The 22,698-nt window shown below is 38.5% G+C and overlaps 1 protein-coding gene across 1 annotated transcript in view, besides 1 other annotated feature; it reads left to right on the forward strand.

The window, feature by feature from the left end:
* NXPH1 (neurexophilin 1) overlaps window positions 1-22,698 on the forward strand; it is a 319,353-nt gene that overhangs the window by 292,106 nt on the left and 4,549 nt on the right. The window lies entirely within an intron of this gene.
* Window positions 18,147-18,647: an enhancer, noted in NCBI's record as "H3K4me1 hESC enhancer chr7:8783491-8783991 (GRCh37/hg19 assembly coordinates)". NCBI's record gives its function as "activates a minimal SCP1, AML or CMV promoter by ChIP-STARR-seq in primed H9 embryonic stem cells {active_cell/tissue: H9 hESC(primed)}" and the evidence as "EXISTENCE:reporter gene assay evidence [ECO:0000049][PMID:30033119]".

The following is a 22,698-nucleotide window of genomic DNA, read 5'->3' on the forward strand; positions in this document are numbered from 1 at the left end:
AACATTGGATTTGCTCTGCTTCAGAGAGTTGGAGATTCCCAGGACTTTTATAGGAGTGTGGAGAGGCTCTATTTCCAGGATCTTTACCTATTTTTTTTTATTTCTGGGTTGACCGACATTGTCCACTCAGCACCTGGAAAGTTCTGAGCACTGTCCATGCACAATACTCTGATCAGAAAAAGACACTAGAAGGGTTTTTGAATCAATCTAAGGTCTAAATGACACAGGAATGTTATTCCTTGGCAACTAATCTCCATTATTTAATTTATATAACGCTTCCTTCTAACAAAAGGCTTCCAGGTGAAACTCTGGATAATCAGAGTGTGTTAATTTAGGCATATTGTATCAAAAATATCAAAGTCATTATTTCCTTAGGAATTTGGACTTCTATTGGATAAGCTGTGTTATTATTGCTACAAAGTGTGTTTTTATATAAAGTTGTATATAAGAACATCTGTATGTATATTATTAATACCAGTGGCTAATAGGTACAAATGTCTTACATATACTATTCTGAAAATATGGTTGGAAGGTAAGTCAATCCTTCCTCGTTTGCTTCTTTTTCTTTTTTTTTTTTTACACTTTACTGCAATAATTTTCATTTTTTTGTTTGTTTTTTTTAAATGTATTATTATTATACTTTAAGTTTTAGGGTACGTGTGCACAATGTGCAGGTTAGTTACATATGTATACATGTGCCATGCTGGTGCGCTGCACCCACTAACTCGTCATCTAGCATTAGGTATATCTCCCAATGCCGTCCCTCCCCCCTCCCCCCACCCCACAACAGTCCCCAGAGTGTGATGTTCCCCTTCCTGTGTCCATGTGTTCTCATTGTTCAATTCCCACCTATGAGTGAGAATATGCAGTGTTTGGTTTTTTGTTCTTGTGATAGTTTACTGAGAATGATGATTTCCAATTTCATCCATGTCCCTACAAAGGACATGAACTCATCATTTTTTATGGCTGCATAGTATTCCATGGTGTATATGTGCCACATTTTCTTAATCCAGTCTATCGTTGTTGGACATTTGGGTTGGTTCCAAGTCTTTGCTATTGTGAATAATGCCGCAATAAACATACGTGTGCATGTGTCTTTATAGCAGCATGATTTATAGTCCTTTGGGTATATACCCAGTAATGGGATGGCTGGGTCAAATGGCGTTTCTAGTTCTAGATCCCTGAGGAATCGCCACACTGACTTCCACAATGGTTGAACTAGTTTACAGTCCCACCAACAGTGTAAAAGTGTTCCTATTTCTCCACATCCTCTCCAGCACCTGTTGTTTCCTGACTTTTTAATGATTGTCATTCTAACTGGTGTGAGATGGTATCTCATAGTGGTTTTGATTTGCATTTCTCTGATGGCCAGTGATGGTGAGCATTTTTTCATGTGTTTTTTCGGCTGCATAAATGTCTTCTTTTGAGAAGTGTCTGTTCATGTCCTTCGCCCACTTTTTGATGGGGTTGTTTGTTTTTTTCTTGTAAATTTGTTTGAGTTCATTGTAGATTCTGGATATTAGCCCTTTGTCAGATGAGTAGGTTGCGAAAATTTTCTCCCATTTTGTAGGTTGCCTATTCACTCTGATGGTAGTTTCTTTTGCTGTACAGAAGCTCTTTAGTTTAATTAGATCCCATTTGTCAATTTTGGCTTTTGTTGCCATTGCTTTTGGTGTTTTAGACATGAAGTCCTTGCCCATGCCTATGTCCTGAATGGTAATGCCTAGGTTTTCTTTTAGGGTTTTTATGGTTTTAGGTCTAACGTTTAAGTCTTTAATCCATCTTGAATTGATTTTTGTATAAGGTGTAAGGAAGGGATCCAGTTTCAGCTTTCTACATATTGCTAGCCAGGTTTCCCAGCACCATTTATTAAATAGGGAATCCTTTCCCCATTGCTTGTGTTTCTCAGGTTTGTCAAAGATCAGATAGTTGTAGATATGCGGCATTATTTCTGAGGGCTCTGTTCTGTTCCGTTGATCTATATCTCTGTTTTGGTACCAGTACCATGCTGTTTTGGTTACTGTAGCCTTGTAGTATAGTTTGAAGTCAAGTAGCGTGATGCCTCCAGCTTTGTTCTTTTGGCTTAGGATTGACTTGGTGATGCGGGCTCTTTTTTGGTTCCATATGAACTTTAAAGTAGTTTTTTCCAATTCTGTGAAGAAAGTCATTGGTGGCTTGATGGGGATGGCATTGAATCTGTAAATTACCTTGGGCAGTATGGCCATTTTCATGATATTGATTCTTCCTACCCATGAGCATGGAATGTTCTTCCATTTGTTTGTATCCTCTTTTATTTCCTTGAGCAGTGGTTTGTAGTTCTCCTTGAAGAGGTCCTTCACATCCCTTGTAAGTTGGATTCCTAGGTATTTTATTCTCTTTGAAGCAATTGTGAATGGGAGTTCACTCATGATTTGGCTCTCTGTTTGTCTGTTGTTGGTGTATAAGAATGCTTGTGATTTTTTTACTTTGATTTTGTATCCTGAGACTTTGCTGAAGTTGCTTATCAGCTTAAGGAGATTTTGGGCTGAGACAATGGGGTTTCCTAGATCTACAGTCATGTTGTCTGCAAACAGGGACAATTTGACTTCCTCTTTTCCTAATTGAATACTCTTTATTTCCTTCTCCTGCCTAATTGCCCTGGCCAGAACTTCCAACACTATGTTGAATGGGAGTGGTGAGAGAGGGCATCCCTGTCTTGTGCCAGTTTTCAAAGGGAGTGCTTCCAGTTTTTGCCCATTCAGTATGATATTGGCTGTGGGTTTGTCATAGATAGCTTTTATTATTTTGAAATATGTCCCATCCATACTTAATTTATTGAGAGTTTTTAGCATGAAGGGTTGTTGAATTTTGTCAAAGGCCTTTTCTGCATCTATTGAGATAATCATGTGGTTTTTGTCTTTGGCTCTGTTTATATGCTGGATTACATTTATTGATTTGCGTATATTGAACCAGCCTTGCATCCCAGGGATGAAGCCCACTTGATCATGGTGGATAAGCTTTTTGATGTGCTGCTGGATTCTGTTTGCCAGTATTTTATTGAGGATTTTTGCATCAATATTCATCAAGGATATTGGTCTACAATTCTCTTTTTTGGTTGTGTCTCTGCCTGAGTTTGGTATCAGGATGATGCTGGCCTCATAAAATGAGTTAGGGAGGATTCCCTCTTTTTCTATTGATTGGAATAGTTTCAGAAGGAATGGTACCAGTTCCTCCTTGTACCTCTGGTAGAATTCGGCTGTGAATCCATCTGGTCCTGGACTCTTTTTGGTTGGTAAGCTATTGATTATTGCCACAATTTCAGATCCTGTTATTGGTCTATTCAGAGATTCAACTTCTTCCTGGTTTAGTCTTGGGAGGGTGTATGTCTCGAGGAATTTATCCATTTCTTCTAGATTTTCTAGTTTATTTGCATAGAGGTGTTTATAGTATTCTCTGATGGTAGTTTGTATTTCTGTGGGATCGGTGGTGATATCCCCTTTATCATTTTTTATTGCGTCTATTTGATTCTTCTCTCTTTTTTTCTTTCTTAGTCTTGCTAGCGGTCTATCAATTTTGTTGATCCTTTCAAAAAACCAGCTCCTGGATTCATTAATTTTTTGAAGGGTTTTTTGTGTCTCTATTTCCTTCAGTTCTGCTCTGATTTTAGTTATTTCTTGCCTTCTGCTAGCTTTTGAATGTGTTTGCTCTTGCTTTTCTAGTTCTTTTAATTGTGATGTTAGGGTGTCAATTTTGGATCTTTCCTGCTTTCTCTTGTGGGCATTTAGTGCTATAAATCTCCCTCTACACACTGCTTTGAATGCGTCCCAGAGATTCTGGTATGTTGTGTCTTTGTTCTCCTTGGTTTCAAAGAACATCTTTATTTCTGCCTTCATTTCGTTATGTACCCAGTAGTCATTCAGGAGCAGGTTGTTCAGTTTCCATGTAGTTGAGCGGTTTTGAGTGAGTTTCTTAATCCTGAGTTCTAGTTTGATTGCACTGTGGTCTGAGAGATAGTTTGTTATAATTTCTGTTCTTTTACATTTGCTGAGGAGAGCTTTACTTCCAAGTATGTGGTCAATTTTGGAATAGGTGTGGTATGGTGCTGAAATAAATGTATATTCTGTTGATTTGGGGTGGAGAGTTCTGTAGATGTCTATTAGGTCCGCTTGGTGCAGAGCTGAGTTCAATTCCTGGGTATCCTTGTTGACTTTCTGTCTCGTTGATCTGTCTAATGTTGACAGTGGGGTGTTAAAGTCTCCCATTATTAATGTGTGGGAGTCTAAGTCTCTTTGTAGGTCACTCAGGACTTGCTTTATGAATCTGGGTGCTCCTATATTGGGTGCATATATATTTAAGACAATTAGCTCTTCTTGTTGAATTGATCCCTTTACCATTATGTAATGGCCTTCTTTGTCTCTTTTGATCTTTGTTGGTTTAAAGTCTGTTTTATCAGAGACTAGGATTGCAACCCCTGCCTTTTTTTGTTTTCCATTTGCTTGGTAGATCTGCCTCCATCCTTTTATTTTGAGCCTATGTGTGTCTCTGCACGTGAGATGGGTTTCCTGAATACAGCACACTGATGGGTCTTGACTCTTTATCCAATTTGCCAGTCTGTGTCTTTTAATTGGAGCATTTAGTCCATTTACATTTAAAGTTAATATTGTTATGTGTGAATTTGATCCTGTCATTATGATGTTAGCTGGTTATTTTGCTCGTTAGTTGATGCAGTTTCTTCCTAGTCTTGATGGTCTTTACATTTTGGCATGATTTTGCAGCAGCTGGTACCGGTTGTTCCTTTCCATGTTTAGCACTTCCTTCAGGAGCTCTTTTAGGGCAGGCCTGGTGGTGACAAAATCTCTCAGCATTTGCTTGTCTGTAAAGTACTTTATTTCTCCTTCACTTATGAAGCTTAGTTTGGCTGGATATGAAATTCTGGGTTGACAATTCTTTTCTTTAAGAATGTTGAATATTGGCCCCCACTCTCTTCTGGCTTGCGGAGTTTCTGCCGAGAGATCCGCTGTTAGTCTGATGGGCTTCCCTTTGAGGGTAACCCGACCTTTCTCTCTGGCTGCCCTTAACATTTTTTCCTGCATTTCAACTTTGGTGAATCTGACAATTATGTGTCTTGGAGTTGCTCTTCTCGAGGAGTATCTTTGTGGTGTTCTCTGTATTTCCTGAATCTGAACGTTGGCCTGCCTTGCTAGATTGGGGATGTTCTCCTGGATAATATCCTGCAGAGTGTTTTCCAACTTGGTTCCATTCTCCCCATCACTTTCAGGTACACCAATCAGACGTAGATTTGGTCTTTTCACATAGTTCCATATTTCTTGGAGGCTTTGCTCTTTTCTTTTTATTGTTTTTTCTCTAAACTTCCCTTCTCGCTTCATTTCATTCATTTCATCTTCTATCACTGATACCCTTTCTTCCAGTTGATCGCATCGGCTCCTGAGGCTTCTGCATTCTTCATGTAGTTCTCGAGCCTTGGTTTTCAGCTCCATCAGCTCCTTTAAGCACTTCTCTGTATTGATTATTCTAGTTATACATTCTTCTAAATTTTTTTCGAAGTTTTCAACTTCTTTGCCTTTGGTTTGAATGTCCTCCCGTAGCTCAGAGTAATTTGATCGTCTGAAGCCTTCTTCTCTCAGCTCATCAAAGTCATTCTCAATCCAGCTTTGTTCCCTTGCTGGGGAGGAACTGTGTTCCTTTGGAGGAGGAGAGGCGCTCTGCTTTTTAGAGTTTCCAGTTTTTCTGCTCTGTTTTTTCCCCATCTTTGTGATTTTATCTACTTTTGGTCTTTGATGATGGTGACGTACAGATGGGTTTTTGGTGTGGATGTCCTTTCTGTTTGTTAGTTTTCCTTCTAACAGACAGGACCCTCAGCTGCAGGTCTGTTGGAGTACTCGGCTGTGTGAGGTGTCAGTCTGCCCCTGTTGGAGGGTGCCTCCCAGATAGGCTGCTCGGGGGTCAGGGGTCAGGGAACCAGTTGAAGAGGAAGTCTGCCCGTTCTCAGATCTCCAGCTGCATGCTGGGAGAACCACTGCTCTCTTCAAAGCTGTCAGACAGGGACATTTAATTCTGCAGAGGTTACTGCTGTCTTTTTGTTTGTCTGTGCCCTGCCCCAAGAAGTGGAGCCTACAGAGGCAGGCAGGCCTCCTTGAGCTGTGGTGGGCTCCACCCAGTTCGAGCTTCCCGGCTGCTTTGTTTACCTAAGCAAGCCTGGGCAATGGCGGGCGCCCCTCCCCCGGCCTTGCTGCTGCCTTGCAGTTTGATCTCAGACTGCTGTGCTAGCAATCAGCAAGACTCCGCGGGCATAGGACCCTCCGAGCCAGGTGCGGGATATAATCTCCTGGTGCGCCATTTTTTAAGCCCGTCGGAAAAGCGCAATATTCGGGTGGGAGTGACCCAATTTTCCAGGTGCCATCTGTCACCCCTTTCTTTGACTAGGAAAGGGAACTCCCTGACCCCTTGCGCTTCCTGAGTGAGGCAATGCCTCGCCATGCTTCGGCTCGTGCATGGTGCGCGCACCCACTGACTTGCGCCCAGTGTCTGGCACTCCCTAGTGAGATGAACCCGGTACCTCAGATGGAAATGCAGAAATCACCTGTCTTCTGTGTCGCTCACAGTGGGAGCTGTAGACTGGAGCTGTTCCCATTCGGCCATCTTGGCTCCTTCGCCTTCGTTTGTTTCATTCTAGACAGAGTTGCACTTTGACTTTAAGAAGCTAAAAATTTGTCTATTACCATTCATATAATAGCCTTGTTATGGAAAAATCATTTGTATTGACCACTAATTCAGGTAGAAAGAAGCAATTCCTACATATAGAACACTTCTCTCTTCCTGAAAGGCATCTGTATTTACTGACAAAATGAAATCGTTTTATGGGTAATACAAAAGTGATTCTGAAGTGTCTGTTTTAGCAAAGAAATAGTCTTTTAATGTGTTATTTTAAATGTTTTATTCATTATTATAACCATGTACTCAGGGGTCCTTAGATGAGATACGCCTTATAACTTTTAAAAAAATGTAATATAAAATATAAGCTATTTTTTTCTGGGTTATTGTCTCCTTGTTAGTGGTGAATCAGTGAGTGGTGAGGAAATGTGAAGGCCTAGGATACAACTATTTACTATTGTAGACTTTATAAGGACTATACCCTTGGGCTTCATGAAATTTATAATTTTTTAAATTTTTAAAAAAATTTTACTTTAAGTTCTGGGATACATGTGCAGAGCATGCAGATTTGTTACATAGGTATACATGTGCCATGGTGGTTTGCTGTACCCATCAACCCATCATCTACATTAAGTATTTCTCCTAATGCTATCCCTCCCCTAGCCCCCTACTACCTGACAGGCCCCCTGTGTGTAATGTTTCCCTCCCTGTGTCCATGTGTTCTCATTGTTCGACTCCCACTTATGAGTGAGAACACGTGGTGTTTTGTTTTCTGTTCCTGTGTTAGTTTGCTTAGAATGATGGTTTCCAGCTTCATCCATGTCCCTGCAAAGGACATGAACTCATCCTTTTTTATAGCTGCATAGTATTCCATGGTGTATATGTGTCACATTTTCTTTATCCAGTCTATCATTGATGGGCATTTCTGTTGGTTCCAAGTCTTTGCTATTGTGAATAGTGCTGCAATAAACATATGCATGTATGTGTCTTTATAGTAGGATGATTTATACTTCTTTGGATATATATACCCAGTAATGGGATGGCTGGGTCAAATTGTATTTCTGGTTCTAGATCCTTGAGGAATCGCCACACTGTCTTCCTCAATGGTTGAGCTAATTTACACTCCCACCAACACTGTAAAAGCGTTTCTATTTCTCCACATCTTCTCCAGCATTTGTTGTTTCCTGACTTTTTAATGATCACCATTCTAACTGGCGTGAGATAGTATCTCATTGTGGTTTTTAATTTGCATTTCTCTAATGACCAGTGATGAGCTTTTTTTTTAATATGTTTTTTGGCCACATAAATGTCTTCTTTCGAGAAGTGTCTGTTCATATCCTTTGCCCACTTTTTGATGGGATTATTTTTTTCTTGTAAATTTGTTTAAGTTATTTGTAGATTCTGGATATTAGCCCTTTGTCAGATGGATAGATTGCAAAAATTTTCTCCCATTCTGTAGGTTGTCTGTTCACTCTGATGATAGTTTCTTTTGCTGTGCAGAAACTCTTTAGTTTAATTAGGTCCCATTTGGCAATTTTGGCTTTTGTTGCCATTGCTTTTAGTGCTTTAGTCATGAAGGCTTTGCCATGCCTATGTCCTGAATGGTATTGCCTAAGTATTCCAGGGTTTTTATGGTTTTAGATCTTATGTTTAAGTCTTTAATCCATACTGAGTTAATTTTTGTATAAGGTGTAAGGAAGGGGTCCAGTTTCTGTTTTCTGCATATGGCTAGCCAGTTTTCCCAGCACCATTTATTAAATAGAAAATCCTTTCCCCGTTGCTTGTTTTTGTCAGGTTTGTCAAAGATCAGATGGTTGTAGATGTGTGGCATTATTTCTCAGGCCTCTGTTATGTTCCATTGGTTTATATAACTGTTTTGGTACCACTACCATGCTGTTTTGGATACTGCATCCTTGTAGTATAGCTTGAAGTCAGGTAGCGTGATGCCTCCAGCTTTGTTCTTTTTGCTTAGGATTGTCTTGGCTATACGGGCTCTTTTTTGGTTCTATATGAAATTTAATGTAGTTTTTTCTAATTCTGCAAAGAACGTCAATGGTAGCTTGATGGGGATAGCATTGAATCTATAAATTACTTTGGGCAATATGGCCAGTTTCACAATATTGACTCTTCCTATCCATGAGCATGGAATGTTTTTCCCATTTATTTTGTCCTCTCTTATTTCCTTGAGCAGTGATTTGTTATGATTTCCGTTCTTTTGTATTTGCTGAGGAATGTTTTACTTTCAAGTATGTGGTCAATTTTAGAATAAGTGTGATGTGGTGCTAAGAAGAATGTATATTCTGTTGATTTGGGGTGGAGAGTTCTGTAAATGCCTCTTAGGTCCTCTCGGTCCAGAGCTGAGTTCAAGTCCTGAATAGCCTTGTTAATTTTCTGTCTCATTGATCTGTCTAATATTGACCGTGGGGTATTAAAGACTCCCACTTTTGTGTGGAAGTCTAAGTCTCTTTGTAGTTCTCCTTGAAGAGGTCCTTCATATCCCTTGTAAGTTGTATTCCTAGGTATTTTATTCTCTTTATAGCAATTGTGAATGGGGGTTCACTCATGATTTGGCTCTCTGTCTGTTATTGGAGTATAAAAATGCTTGTGATTTTTGCACATTGATTTTGTATCCTGATACTTTGCTGAAGTTGCTTATCAGCTTAAGGACATTTTGGGCTGAGACCATGGGGTTTTCTAAATATAAAATCATGTCATCTGCAAACAGGGACAATTTGACTTCCTCTCTTCCTATTTGAATTTCCTTTCTTTCTTTCTCTTGCCTGATTGCCCTGGCCAGAACTTCCAATACTATGTTGAATAGGAGTGGTGAGTGAGGGCATCCTTGTCTTGTGCCAGTTTTCCAAGGGAGTGCTTCTAGCTTGTGCCCATTCAGTATGACATTGGCTGTGGGTTTGTCATAAATAGCTCTTAGTATTTTAAGATATGTTCCATCAATACCTAGTTTATTGAGAGTTTCTAGCATGAAGGGTTGAGTTTTATTGAAGGCCTTGAGCAGGTATTGAGATAATCATGTGGTTTTTGTCATTGGTTATGTTTATGTACTGTATTATGTTTACTGATTTGTGTATGTTGAACCAGCCTTGCATCCCAGGGATGAAGCCGACTTGATCATGGTGGATAAGCTTTTGGATGTGCTGCTGCATTTGGTTTGCCAGTATTTTATTGAGGATTTTCACATTGATGTTCATCAGGGATATTGGCCTGAAATTTTCATTTTTTGTTGTGTCTCTGCCAGGTTTTGGTACCAGGATGATGCTGGCCTCATAAAATGAGTTAGGGAGGACTCCCTCTTTTTCTGTTGTTTGGAATCATTTCAGAAGGAATGGTACCAGCTTCTCTTTGTACCTCGGTAGAATGCTACTGTGAATTCATCTGGTTCTGGGCTTTTTTTGGTTGGTAGGCTGTTAATTACGCCTTAATTTCAGAACTCATTATTGGTCTATTCAGGGATTCAATTTCTTCTTTGTTTAGTCTTGGGAGGGTGTATGTGTCCAGGAATTTATCCATTTTTTCTAGATCTTCTAGTTTATTTGCATAGAGTTGTTTATAGTATTCTCTAATAGTAGTTTGTATTTCTATGGGATCAGTGGTGATATCCCCTTTATCATTTTTATTGTGCCTATTCGATTCTTCTCTTTTATTCTTTATTTGTCTTCCTAGCCATGTATTTTGTTAATCTTTTCAAAAAACCAACTCCTGGATTCATTGATTTTTTGAAGGATTTTTTGTGTCTCTATCTCCTTCAGTTCTGCTCTGATCTTAGTTATTTCTTGTCTTCTGCTAGCTTTTGAATTTGTTTGCTCTTGCTTCTCTAGTTTGTTTAATTGTGATGTCAGGGTGTTGATTTTAGATCTTTCCTCCTTTCTCCTGTGGGCATTTAGTGCTATAAATTTCCCTCTAAACACTGCTTTAGCTGTATCCCAGAGATTCTAGTATGTTGTGTCTTTGTTCTCACTGGTTTCAAAGAACTTATTTATTTCGGCCTTCATTTTGTTATGTACCCAGTAGTCATTCAGGAGCAGGTTGCTCAGTTTCCAGGTAGTTGTGCAGTTTTGAATGAGTTTCTTAATCTTGAGTTCTAATTTGATGGCACTGTGGCCTGAGAGACTGTTTGTTATGATTTCTGTTATTTTGCATTTGCTCAGGAGAGTTTTACTTTCAATTATGTAGTCAATTTTAGGATAAGTGTGATGTGGTGCTGACAAGAATGTATATTCTGTTGATTTGGGATGGAGAGTTCCGTAAATGCCTATTAGGTCCTCTTGGTCCATAGCTGAGTTCAAGTCCTGAATATCCTTGTTAGTTTTCTGTCTCATTGATCTGTCTAATATTGACAGTGGGGTGTTAAAGTCTCCCACATTTGTGTGACAGTCTAAGTCTCTTTTTAGGTGTCTAAAAATTTGCTTTATGAATATGGGTGCTCCTATATTGGGTGCATATATATTTAGGATATTTAGCTCTGCTTGTTACATTGATCCCTTTACCATTATGTCATGCCCTTCTTTGTCTTTTTTGGTCTTTGTTGGTTTAAAGTCTGTTTTCTCAGAGACTAGGATTGCAACCCCTACCTTTTTTTTTTTATGCTTTCCATTTGCTTGGTAAATATTCCTCTATCCCTTTATTTTGAGCGTGCGTGTGTGTTTGCATGTCAGATGGGTCTCCTGAATACAGCAGATCGATGAGTCTTAACTCTATCCAATTTGCCAGTGTGTGTCTTTTAATTGGAGCTTTTAGCCCATTTACATTTAAAGTTAATATTGTTGTGTGTGAATTTGATCATGTCAGTATGATGCTAGCTGGTTATTTTGCCTGTTACTTGATGCAGTTTCTTCATAGTGTTGATGGTCTTTACAGTATGGTATGTTTTTGCAATGGCTGGTACTGGTTTTTCCTTTGTATATTTAGTGCTTCCTTCAGGAGCTCTCGTAAGGCAGGCCTGGTGGTGACAAGATATCTCAGCATTTGCTTGTCTGTAAAGGATTTTTATTTCTTCTTCACTTATGAAGCTTAGTTTGGCTGGATATGAAATCCTGGGTTGAAAATTCTTTTGTTTAAGAATGTTAAATATTGGCCCCCAGTCTCTTGTGGCTTGTAGGGTTTCTGCAGAGAGATCCACTCTTAGTCTGATGGGCTTCCCTTTGTGGGTAACCTGACCTTTCTCTCTGGCTGCCCTTAACATTTTTTCCTTCATTTCAACCTTGGTGAATCTGACAATTATGTGTCTTGGGATGGCTCTTCTTGAGGAATATCTTTGTGGCATTCTCTGTATTTCGTGGATTTGAATGTTGACCTGTCTTGCTAGATTGGGGAAGTTCTCCTGGATAATATCCTGAAGAGTGTTTTCCAACTTGTTTCCATTCTCTCTGTCACTTTCAGGTACACCAGTCAAAGGTAGGTTTGTTTTATTCACACGTTCACATATTTCTTGGAGGCTTTGTTCATTCCTTTTCATTCTTTTTTCTCTAATCTTGTCTTCACACTTTATTTCATTAAGTTGATCTTCAATCTCTGATATCCTTTCTTCCACTCGGTAGATTCAGCTACTGATACTCGTGTATGTTTCATGAAGTTCTCGTGCTGTGTTTTTCAGCTCCATCAGGTCATTTATGTTCTTCTCTAAATTGGTTAATCTAGTTAGCAATTCATCCAACCTTTTTTCAAGGTTCTTAGCTTCCTTGCATTGGGTTAGAACATGCTCCTTTAGCTTGGGGGAGTTTACTATTACCAACCTTCTGAAGCCTACTTCTGTCCATTCGTCAAACTCATTCTCCGTCCAGTTTTGTTCCCTTGCTGGTGAGGAGTTGTCATCATTTGGAGGAGAAGAGGCATTCTGGATTTGGAATTTCAGTCTTTTGCACTGGTTTTTCCTCATCTTTATCTACCTTTGGTCTTTGATGTTGGTGACCTTTGGATGGGGTTTCTGTGTGGATGTCCTTTTTGTTGAGGTTGATGCTATTCCTTTCTATTAGTTTTCCTTCTAACAGTTAGGACCCTCTGCTGCAGGTCTGTTGGAGTTTGCTGGAGGTCCACTCCAGACCCTGTTTGGCTGGGTATCACCAGAGGAGGCTGCAGAACAGCAAAGATTGCTGCCTGTTCCTTCCTCTGGAAGCTTTGTCCCAGAGGGACACCTGCCAGATACCAGCTGGAGCTCTCCTATATGAGGTGTCTGTCGACCCCTGCTTGGGGGTATCTCCCAGTCAGGAGGCACGGGAGTGAGGGACCCACTTGAGGAGGCAGTCTGTCCCTTAGCAGAGCTCAAGTGCTATGCTGGGAGATCTGCTGCTCTATTCAGAGCCAGCAGGCAGGAACATTTAAGTCTGCCAAAGCTGTGCCCACAGCTACCACTTCCCCCAGGTGCTCTGTCTCAGGAAGATGGGAGTTTTATCTATAAGCCCCTGACTGGGGCTGCTGCCTTTCTTTCAGAGATGCCCTGACCAGGGAGAAGGAATCTAGAGAGGCACATTGGCTACAGTAGGTTTGCTGAGCTGTGGTGGGCTTCACCCAATCCGAACTTCCCCCAGCAGCTTTGTTTACACTGTGAGGGGAAAATCGCCTACTCAAGCCTCAATAATTGTGGATGTTCCTCTCCCCACCAAGCTCAAGCATCCCAGGTCGACTTCAGACTGCTGTGCTGGCAGCAAGAATTTCAAGCCAGTGGATCTTAGCTTGCTGGGCTCCTTGGGGGTGGGATCCACTGAGCAAGACCACTTGGCTCCCTGGTTTCATCCCCCTTTCCAAGGGAGTGAACGGTTTCGTCTCACTGGAGTTCCAGGCACCAGTGGGGTAAAAAAAAAAAAAAAAAAAAAAAAAAAAAAAAACCCTGCAGCTAGCTCTTTGTCTGCCCAAATGGCCACCCAGTTCTTTGCTTGAAACTCAGGGCCCTGGTGGTATAGGCACCCGAGGGAATCTCCTGGTCTGTGGGTTGTGAAGACTATGGGAAAAGTGTAGTATCTGGGCCAGAATGCACCGTCCTTCAAGGCACATTCTCTCACAGCTTCCTTTGGCTAGAGGAGGGAGTTCCCTGACCCCTTGTGCTTCCTGGGTGAGGCAACACCCCACCCTGCTTCTGATTGCCTTCCATGGGCTGCACGCACTGTCTAACCATTCCCTGTGAGATGAGCTGCGTACCTCAGCTGGAAATGCAGAAGTCACCCGCCTTTTGCATTGATCTTGCTGGGAGCTGCAGACTGGAGCTGTTCCTATTTGGTCATCTTGCCAGTCACCTATTTTCCTCTTTTTTCTTTCTTTAAAATAACCTTAGCATACTGTACCTTTTTTCTTTATAAACTTTTAATTTTTTAAAACTTTTGATTATTGTGTAATAACACTTAGGTTAAAACACAAACACACTATAAAGCTGTACAAAATATTTTCTTTCTTTCCATCCTTATTCTATAAACTTTTTCTATTTTTTAAATTTTTATATCTTTTGCTTTTTAAACATTTTTAAAAATGAAGACACAAGCACACATATTAGCCTAGGCCTACACAGGGTCAGCATCATCAAGACATTATTAGGTGATAGGAATTTTTCAGCTCCATTATAATCTCCTGGGACCACCATTGTATATGCAGTCCATCTTTGTCTGAACATCAGTAGGCAGTGTGTGACTGTACCTCTAAAGATGACCACAGAGTTGTCAGAATTATGCTAATTCCCACTTCAGTTTGTTTGGATTATTTGAGCTGATGTAATGTTTCCAGTCAGGAGACAAGTATAGAATAGCAGTGCACATTCTGAAAGCCTTATTTTCCTTTCTCCTTCAGGGTTTCATAACCTAACTTGGCATAATAGGTCTCATGTGTTGTGCTCAAACTGCATGTAACGCTATATTTATGCCTTATATTTGTAGCCCCTATATTTATACCTTAGTATAAAAGAAATGAAGGAAATAAGTGCATATCCTCTTATCTGATTTTTACCCAGAATTACATAGATAGCTTGCCATTGTTTGGATGGCAAGAAGAATAAATACAGGCATGTATTTATCCCCATGACATGCACTACATACAAATTTTTCAGTTTTGTCTTCACAAAAACCCAATGAGTTAGGTATTATCTAAATTTTTTAAATGGATAAAATGTGGCTCTAAGAGATAGACAATGATGAAGTAGCAGGATTTGCATTTAGACCTATGATCTCTGACTGCAAAGCCCATTCTCTTAGTTCCTATGTAATACAGGCTCCTGGAGCCTACTGGGTTAAGAGAGAGCCATGAAGCTCCTTTTCTGCTTTTCCATTGTTAATGCAGCTCTGTGGTACCTGAAGCACTGCTTTGCATGAAGGAAATGATGTACCTTTTTTGTTGCTTGTTTTTTGCTTTTGTTTTTTTTTTCCTTTAAATTTATTTATTTATTCCCAGCTTTACTGATATGTAATTGACCAATAAAAATGGTATATACTCAAGGCTTATAATGTGATGTTTTGATTTATGTATACACTGTGAAATGATTACCACAACCAAGCTAATTAAAATATCCATTACCTCACATAGTTACCATTTTGTGTGTGTGTATGTAGTGAGAACTCTCCTACTCTCTTAGCAAATTTCAAGTATAGAATACATTGTTAATAACTGTAGTCACCATGTTGTACATTAGAACTCCAGAACTTATTCATCACATAATCAAATGTTTGTATCCTTTAACAAACATCTTTCAATTTCCTCCATTCCCCAGCCTCTGGCAAATACCAGTCTACTTCCTGTTTCTGAGTTCCACTTATTTGGATTCCACATACAAGTGAGATCATGCAGTATTTGTTTCTGTCTAGCTTATTTTACTTAGCACAATGTCCTGTAGGTTCATCCATGCTGCTACAAATGACAGGATTTCCTTCTTTCTTAATAATTTTCTCATCCATTATGCATATTTCTCATTAATTATATAGCTCATATCTTCTTTTTCCATTCATCCCTTGATGGACACTTAGGTCTATATCTTGGCAATTGTGAATAATGCTGCAATGAATATAAAATGCAGATTTTTTTTGAGACCCTGATTTCATTTTCTTTGGATATAAACCCAGAAGTGGGATTGCTGGATCAAATGGTAGTTCTATTTGTAGTTGTAGTTTTTTGAGGAATCTCCAGATTGTTTTCCATAATCTCTCTACCAAGTTATAATCCCATCCACAGTGTACAGCTGTTCCCTTTCTCCACATCGTGTTCAGCACTGATTATTGTTTGACCTTCTCATAATAGTTATGCTGACAGGTGTGAGGTGATATATCACTGTTGTTTTGATTTACAGGAAGGAATGTATTTTTGAGGTATTAAAACACTACTTTCCTCTGGCTTATGTAAAATGCAGGTACTTTGGGTATTATCAATAAAATACAGGCTCTAAATTTGTAAGAAAGGAATCTCTGAGTGCCATGTGTCCCCCTAAAATATTGATTGTGAATCAAATAACATTCACTATTAAAATAGATGTAGCTAAGAATATGAACCATACAGGTAATTTATTAAGTGCTTACTCTATGCTAGGCACTCCTTCTGCCAAGATACACATGGCATAAAATAGAAAGAACATCTTTCAAATATTCTTAAGACTGTAGTCTTGGGAAACTAAACTCTTGAGATAATTGTATGAAAAAGAGTCTAACACATCTTTAAATAGCTGCCTACCTTTCTCTAAACTAGTTAAGAAAGGGTCTAGTGAAAACATGGGCACCACGTAATCTACCTTGTAAGATTCAGAGTGCCTGAGATAGAATTCTAAATTTCTTTGCAGAGAGAAAAAGCAAAACAAATTAAAAGATGAAGGAATACTATATCCATGTAAGTCTATGGCCAGTAAAGACACTTTTGGGTATGGATGACTCATTTTATCCTATATGAACTTCTTTTAAAGTAATCATACAAATATATACACCCAGAAAAAATGAAAATTCAATGAGAGAGGGGAGTGGGATATCTGAAAAAGCAATGAGCAAAGAAAACATTGGAATTGAGGCTAAAATAGTAACTATGTAACCTGGCTATAAAACAATGTAATAATTAAGGATCTATCACACAAAACGTATATAAAATGTAAAAATACGGTATATTCATAATATAGAATTCTAACTATACTTAAGTTTAAAATAAAGGTGATGTGCATTGTAGAATGTTTAGTTAATAAAATACAGGTGATATATCTGAATATACTAGCTGAGATGTGTCTCTGAGATATTTTGTTAATTGGAAAATATATAATGTAATTTATAAAATAGACACCATGTATGTAAGATATTTATATATGAAAAAGAAAATACTTAGGAACAATATATACCAAAATTTGAACAGGTTTTATCTTTGGTGGGGGTGGGATTGCAAGGAAGCAGGGGTTGATGATGAAGAACATCTTTTACATTTTATTTTATTAATTTCCTATAATGTTTAATGTTTTAATAAGCATAAATTAATGTAAAATTTCATTATTGAAATGGCTTTTAAAAATAAAGGATATATCCTGTGGAATAGTGAGAAGTAGCTTACCAGCAGTGATTTTGGACAAGTGCTATTTGAGTTTCCATATCTCTTCAGTAAGCTGAAGACTTTGCTATTGACCTCAAAGTTAGTGAGTGTGTGCGTGTGTGCGTGTGTGTGGTTTAAATGTAATACAATGCCATATGTAAAGTGCTAATTACAATGTCAGTGATATAGTGTGCCCTTAACCAATAGTAGTCAATATTATGCAACATATATTGAACATAGGTAACCATAAACCACTAAAATGAAGTTGTAATCATAGAGCAATGTTTGTTTGTTGGTTACTTATTCACCAGTGAGCAATGTTGCTTGAGCAATAGTTTTTTTTTTAAACATTTTTGTTTGTGTTCATACATTTGGTGAAATAAATATAAATTTTTCAAAGCAATCTTGAGATTATTTATGCTGAACAGTAATAGATCAACAGTAAAATATGCAGGTTGGTAAAAGTTAAAAGACATCTCATTTCTCATTTATAAAAAGAGATATACAAATGTTTGGAGACACTTCTAGTTGAAGATTGTATATATAAAAGAGATATACAAATGTTTGGAGACACTTCTAGTTGAAGATTTTATATATAAAGAAGTAAACATTTTGTCACGTACAGCCAGAATAGTTGAAGTGGGAGTGAAGTCGAGAAGTGGTTTATTCCCCCAAAATGGTGTCTTTCAACAATATTTTAAAAGATAATGTATTGGCATTATGGCATTATTACTATAAACCTATTATGAGATGATATTAGAACAAGCAGTGTGTAATTATGCTCCTAAGACATGTATAGGAGGAGCTAGAGCAAAGTGTGGCAACTCTTTTTTTTTCTTTTCTTTTTTTTTTTTGAGATTGAGTCTCGCTCTGTGGCCCAGGCTGGAGTGCAGTGGCGTGATCTTGGTTCACTGCAAGCTCCGCCTCCCGAGTTCATGCTGTTCTCCCGCCTCAGCCTCCCGAGTAGCTGGGACCACAGGCACCCACCACCGTGCCCGGCCAATTTTTTTGTATTTTCAGTAGAGACGGGGTTTCAGTGTGTTAGCCAGGATGGTCTCTACCTCCCGACCTTGTGATCCGCCCGCCTCGGCCTCCCAAAGTGCTGGGATTGCAGGCATGAGCCACCGCGCCCTGCCAAAGCATGGCAACTCTTCATGTGCTCACACTTCCACCATCCAATGGTGGTTTTTTCTCTCTAGCCCCAAACTCAGTTTCTGTCCTAGGTATGCTCCTTTGATGTTAGATCTAAGCTTGGTCTTTGTTTAATGTTGAAGAAAATGACCCTTGTCTATGCCCCTATTTGTATATAGTCTCAAAAGAATCATATATTTAAAAATGCATACACTTATGTTAATAATCTTTATGTCTGAATGTTTCTGAAACAATGAGACACATCAAATTTGTGGAAATGGTATCATTGAACTAGAGAGCCAGCTCCTTTGGTAATGGGCATTGGCCACTTTTGACATGGAAAATTATCCTCAGGAAGTATATTTGGTGTTTTCATTATAATATTATAGAAAATATTTATAGAAAAAGGTCCATATGCTTTGGTTTTTTGTTTGTTTGTTTGTTTTTTGGTAATCATCTTTATGCTATAGTCCTTACCACTTCTGATGATCAACTGGCTCCTCTTCTGCCTGTCCTCAAAGTGCTAACATTTTTAAAGATATTCTTAGCATACTTCTTTATTACCACACGTTTCTTGCACAATACCATCTACTCATACTACAAAATCAACATCACCATCCCTCTCATGTCTCCAGACCTTCAGATCCTTGTTCCCAGTTTCCTAGTGGATGGCATCACCAGAATGACTTCCCACAGGCGCTTAATCTCCCAATATTTCTATGAGTTTTAATTTTATTTTCCAGCCAACTTGTTACCACTGTTTTCCTTGCAGATGCAAGCAAGCTTTCTCAACCTTTTTTATGTTTCTATTTAGCCAAGAATCATCAAGCTTAGTTAATCCTACGTCTGAATTATCCCTTAGATCCATCATTTCTTCCTCTTTTTCTCTGCTACTGTTTTGGTTCAGGTTCACTTCTTTTTCAAATGAAATATTGCAATTAGTTATTTAATTAGTCTCCCTTCCTTCAAGGTCTCTATTAAACCACCCTTTAATATCTACTCAGCGATTCTTCTAGAGCCAGGATGACCTACTTAAAAAGAAAACAAAATGAAATGTAGTGACTCCCTATTTCCTGTAAGATTAAGTTTAAATGCCTTAGCAGCACCTTTACGATTTGGCCGTAGCCTGCCTTCTACAAGTTTTTGGCAAGCTCTTCTATTTCTCCTCTAAAGTAATGCTCCCTGGCGTTCAGCAGTAAGAAGCTATTTTCTTTTTTTCCCCTTTCTTTATTGACAAGTGAAAATTGTGTATAATTATGGTGTACAGTATAAGGCTATGAGATATGTATACATTGTGGAATGGCTAAATCAAGCTATTTACCATATGCATTATCTCACATACTTGTTTTTTGTGTATGGTGAGAATGCTTAAAATCTACTCTCTTAGCATGGTCTCACTTAAATGTGGAGTGTAAAAAAGTTGAACTCATAAAAACAGAGTAAAATGGTGGATACCTGGGGGGTGGGGGTGGGTGGAGTAGAGAGATGTTTGTCTATGAATGTAAAATTTTAGTTAGAGAATAATAAGTTTTTTTTTCATTCTTACATTTGACACGTCCTTTCTCTGCTCTGTGCTTTGGCACTGTCTGCCCCGAAACAGAGTCTTGCTCTGTCGCCAGGCTGGAGTGCAGTGGTGCAATCTTGGCTCACTGCAACCTCTGTTTCCCTGATTCAAGCAATTCTCCTGCCTCTGCCTCCCTAGTTGCTGGGACTACAGGCATGTGCCACCACGCCCAGCTAATTTTTTTTTTTTTTTTTTTTTTGTATTTTTAGTAGAGACAGGGTGTCACCATGTTGGCCAGGATGATCTGATCTCTTGACCTCTTTATCCTCCTGCCTTGGCCTCCCAAAGTGCTAGGATTTCAGGCGAGAGCTACTGTCCCCGGCCCTGTTCTTTATTCTTGGAAGAACTCCTCTGGCCCATGCACTAGCTGTTAAAGTACCAAGCCTCTTTTATCTACCACATCTAAGGATCATCTCTTCTGTTATACCTTCTCTACCTTTCAACTTTGACTATGATTGCTGGAATGTTACACATAGTGCTGGTTGCATCACACTGTGATGGCTTAATTGATGCCTCCAGTAGACTGTGAACTTCTCGAGAGCCAGGACCATGTGCCATTGATGTTTGCATTTCTTTATTCCACTCAATATTCTTGTAGTCTCACTATACAGCTATTTTGTTAATAAGACAAAAGAAATTGGAGTTGTTAGTCTTGAACAGCTCTGGGGACTTTGCTAAGGAACCTTCCTGTTTTTTTCCAGATTTATATTCTCTTTTAGACATTGCCCTACTCCCTTCCTAAGTAAAAAGCAAGGACTGAGGGAATAAGAATATTTAAGACAGTGTTAATGATGATTACAGCTGAAACCTGCTTTGATTCTTTACCCACACTGAGATGTTCCAGAGAGGCTTCCTGACTGTCAGCACCACTTGAAGCCTTTCCCATTATATCACTGAAGGCAAATAATTCATTGCATTTGGAAGCTAAGCTGTTTAATAACAAAGGATGAGCATAATTTTAGCTAACTTGAGTTCAATCACTTACTTTATTTGCCATATATTTAGGCAGTCACAGCAGCACTTTCAAAAATATATGCTTGCTTTCTTTCCTTTTCAACATTTCAATTCATGTTACATTGTTTGGAGTTCAATATATATTGATGCTATCCTTAATATAAATTTAAAAAATTATTTTATTGTGGTATGAGCACTTAATGTGAGTTCTACCCTCTTAACAAATTTTTAAACTGTAAAATACAATATTGACTATAAGTACAAATGTTGCAAAGCAGATCTCTAGAATTTATTTCAACCTGATTAACTAAAACTTTATGCTCATTTTCTCCCCATTTTCTTCTCCCCCGCTTTCCCCCACAGCATGCTTTTTTTTTTAATTGTTTGCTTTATGTTTGTGGTTATATTGAAGGGAGATTTTCTTTCAAGAATGCTTTATGCTCTTAAATCCGATTATAAATTAATAATTTACATAAAATATTATGTAGTGAGATTCAGAGGTAAAAATATCTGGTGATGACAACAGCTAAGACGACTATTGAACAGTGTTCCAGGTACTGTCCTTAGTAATTTGAATGGAGTGCCCTATTTAATCCTCACAACAGCCCTGTGAAGAAGATTGATATTATTCTTCTATTCCCTAGAAGAGAGAAACAGTGAAGCTTAAACAAGTTAAGTAACTTGCCCACATCACACAGCTGTTAAAGATCAGAACCTGGACTGGGATTCAGGCAGTCTGACTCCAGAGTGCACTCCCATAATTACTACAGCTGTGGATAACATAATTTAGAACTAAACAATTTTTATTCTACCTGAAAATCAGAGGTTTGTCTGTCAGAGGAGTCTTAGCAACTTTTTGAATAGATTGATTCTTCCTTCTTGAAACCATATTCACTACTTCCACAAGTTTTACTTTCATTTCCCCCTATGCTACTGGTAAATTGAGCTGTAAATCCCTCTTTTCCTCCTTCTTTGGGATAATTTCGTTACTGCTTCATTAGCCAGTGCATCATGAAAGCATCTCAATACAGCCCTTTGCTGATGCTGAGATATAAGCACTAAGCCACTACTAAATGCATTCCTGTATTTATTCTTTTTGCCACACAAACAATGGGAAACTGTCTAGATAATTCCAGGCAAAAGCCAGAGAAGAGGATACACATGTATTTGTTTTATACTGAGGCATAAATGTAGGAACTGTGATAAGGGCAATGCTTATGTAACTAGGCAAGTGCAGATTCAGATGTTTAATCAATTAGATTTTATTCACGCACACACACACACACAGTCTCCCAAATCCAAAGGTATGTACTATTTTTACTGATTAATGTTAGTTTTAAATTTTACATTATAGCTACTCTGTGTTACAGAAAAATAGTATCTTTTGAAATGCAGTACCTTCAGAAAATGAGTGGGAAAGCTGTAGTTGTTTTTATTAGTTTTATAACTATAATGAAAAATACTAACTCTGGAGCTGCTAAGGATAATCCTTTTGATGTGAGAGTAAATATTTTTCCATAATGGAATGGCTTTATTGTCAGGATAGATTGGAAATGTATTGCTTTTTTCTTAAGAAAAGTTATATATTCCTATGCATAATCCTCCTCTCCCAAGGAATATTTTTCCTTTCAACTTTATCCTATTAGAAATTAATATTTAGTCCTTATTAAAAATTACTTGTGCTAAAGCAACGATTTTGCTGTTATTAGTCATTTCTACTGTTTGAATGTGGTCCATTTCTGCGATACTATTTTGGTATGAAGAAAATCTGTAAACAGGAAAGAGTTTGGGTACATAGGGGAAAGGAGAGATACCAAAGCAAGGGTTGAGCAAAAGTGAAAGGGAAGTACTTACAACTAAAAAAAAGTTGGCAGCGAAGATAACCTTCTGTCAATTTCCTATATTTTCCCCAAGAC

The sequence above is a fragment of the Homo sapiens genome, chromosome 7, assembly GCF_000001405.40.
Source record: "Homo sapiens chromosome 7, GRCh38.p14 Primary Assembly".
In the NCBI taxonomy this organism is placed as follows: domain Eukaryota; kingdom Metazoa; phylum Chordata; class Mammalia; order Primates; family Hominidae; genus Homo; species Homo sapiens.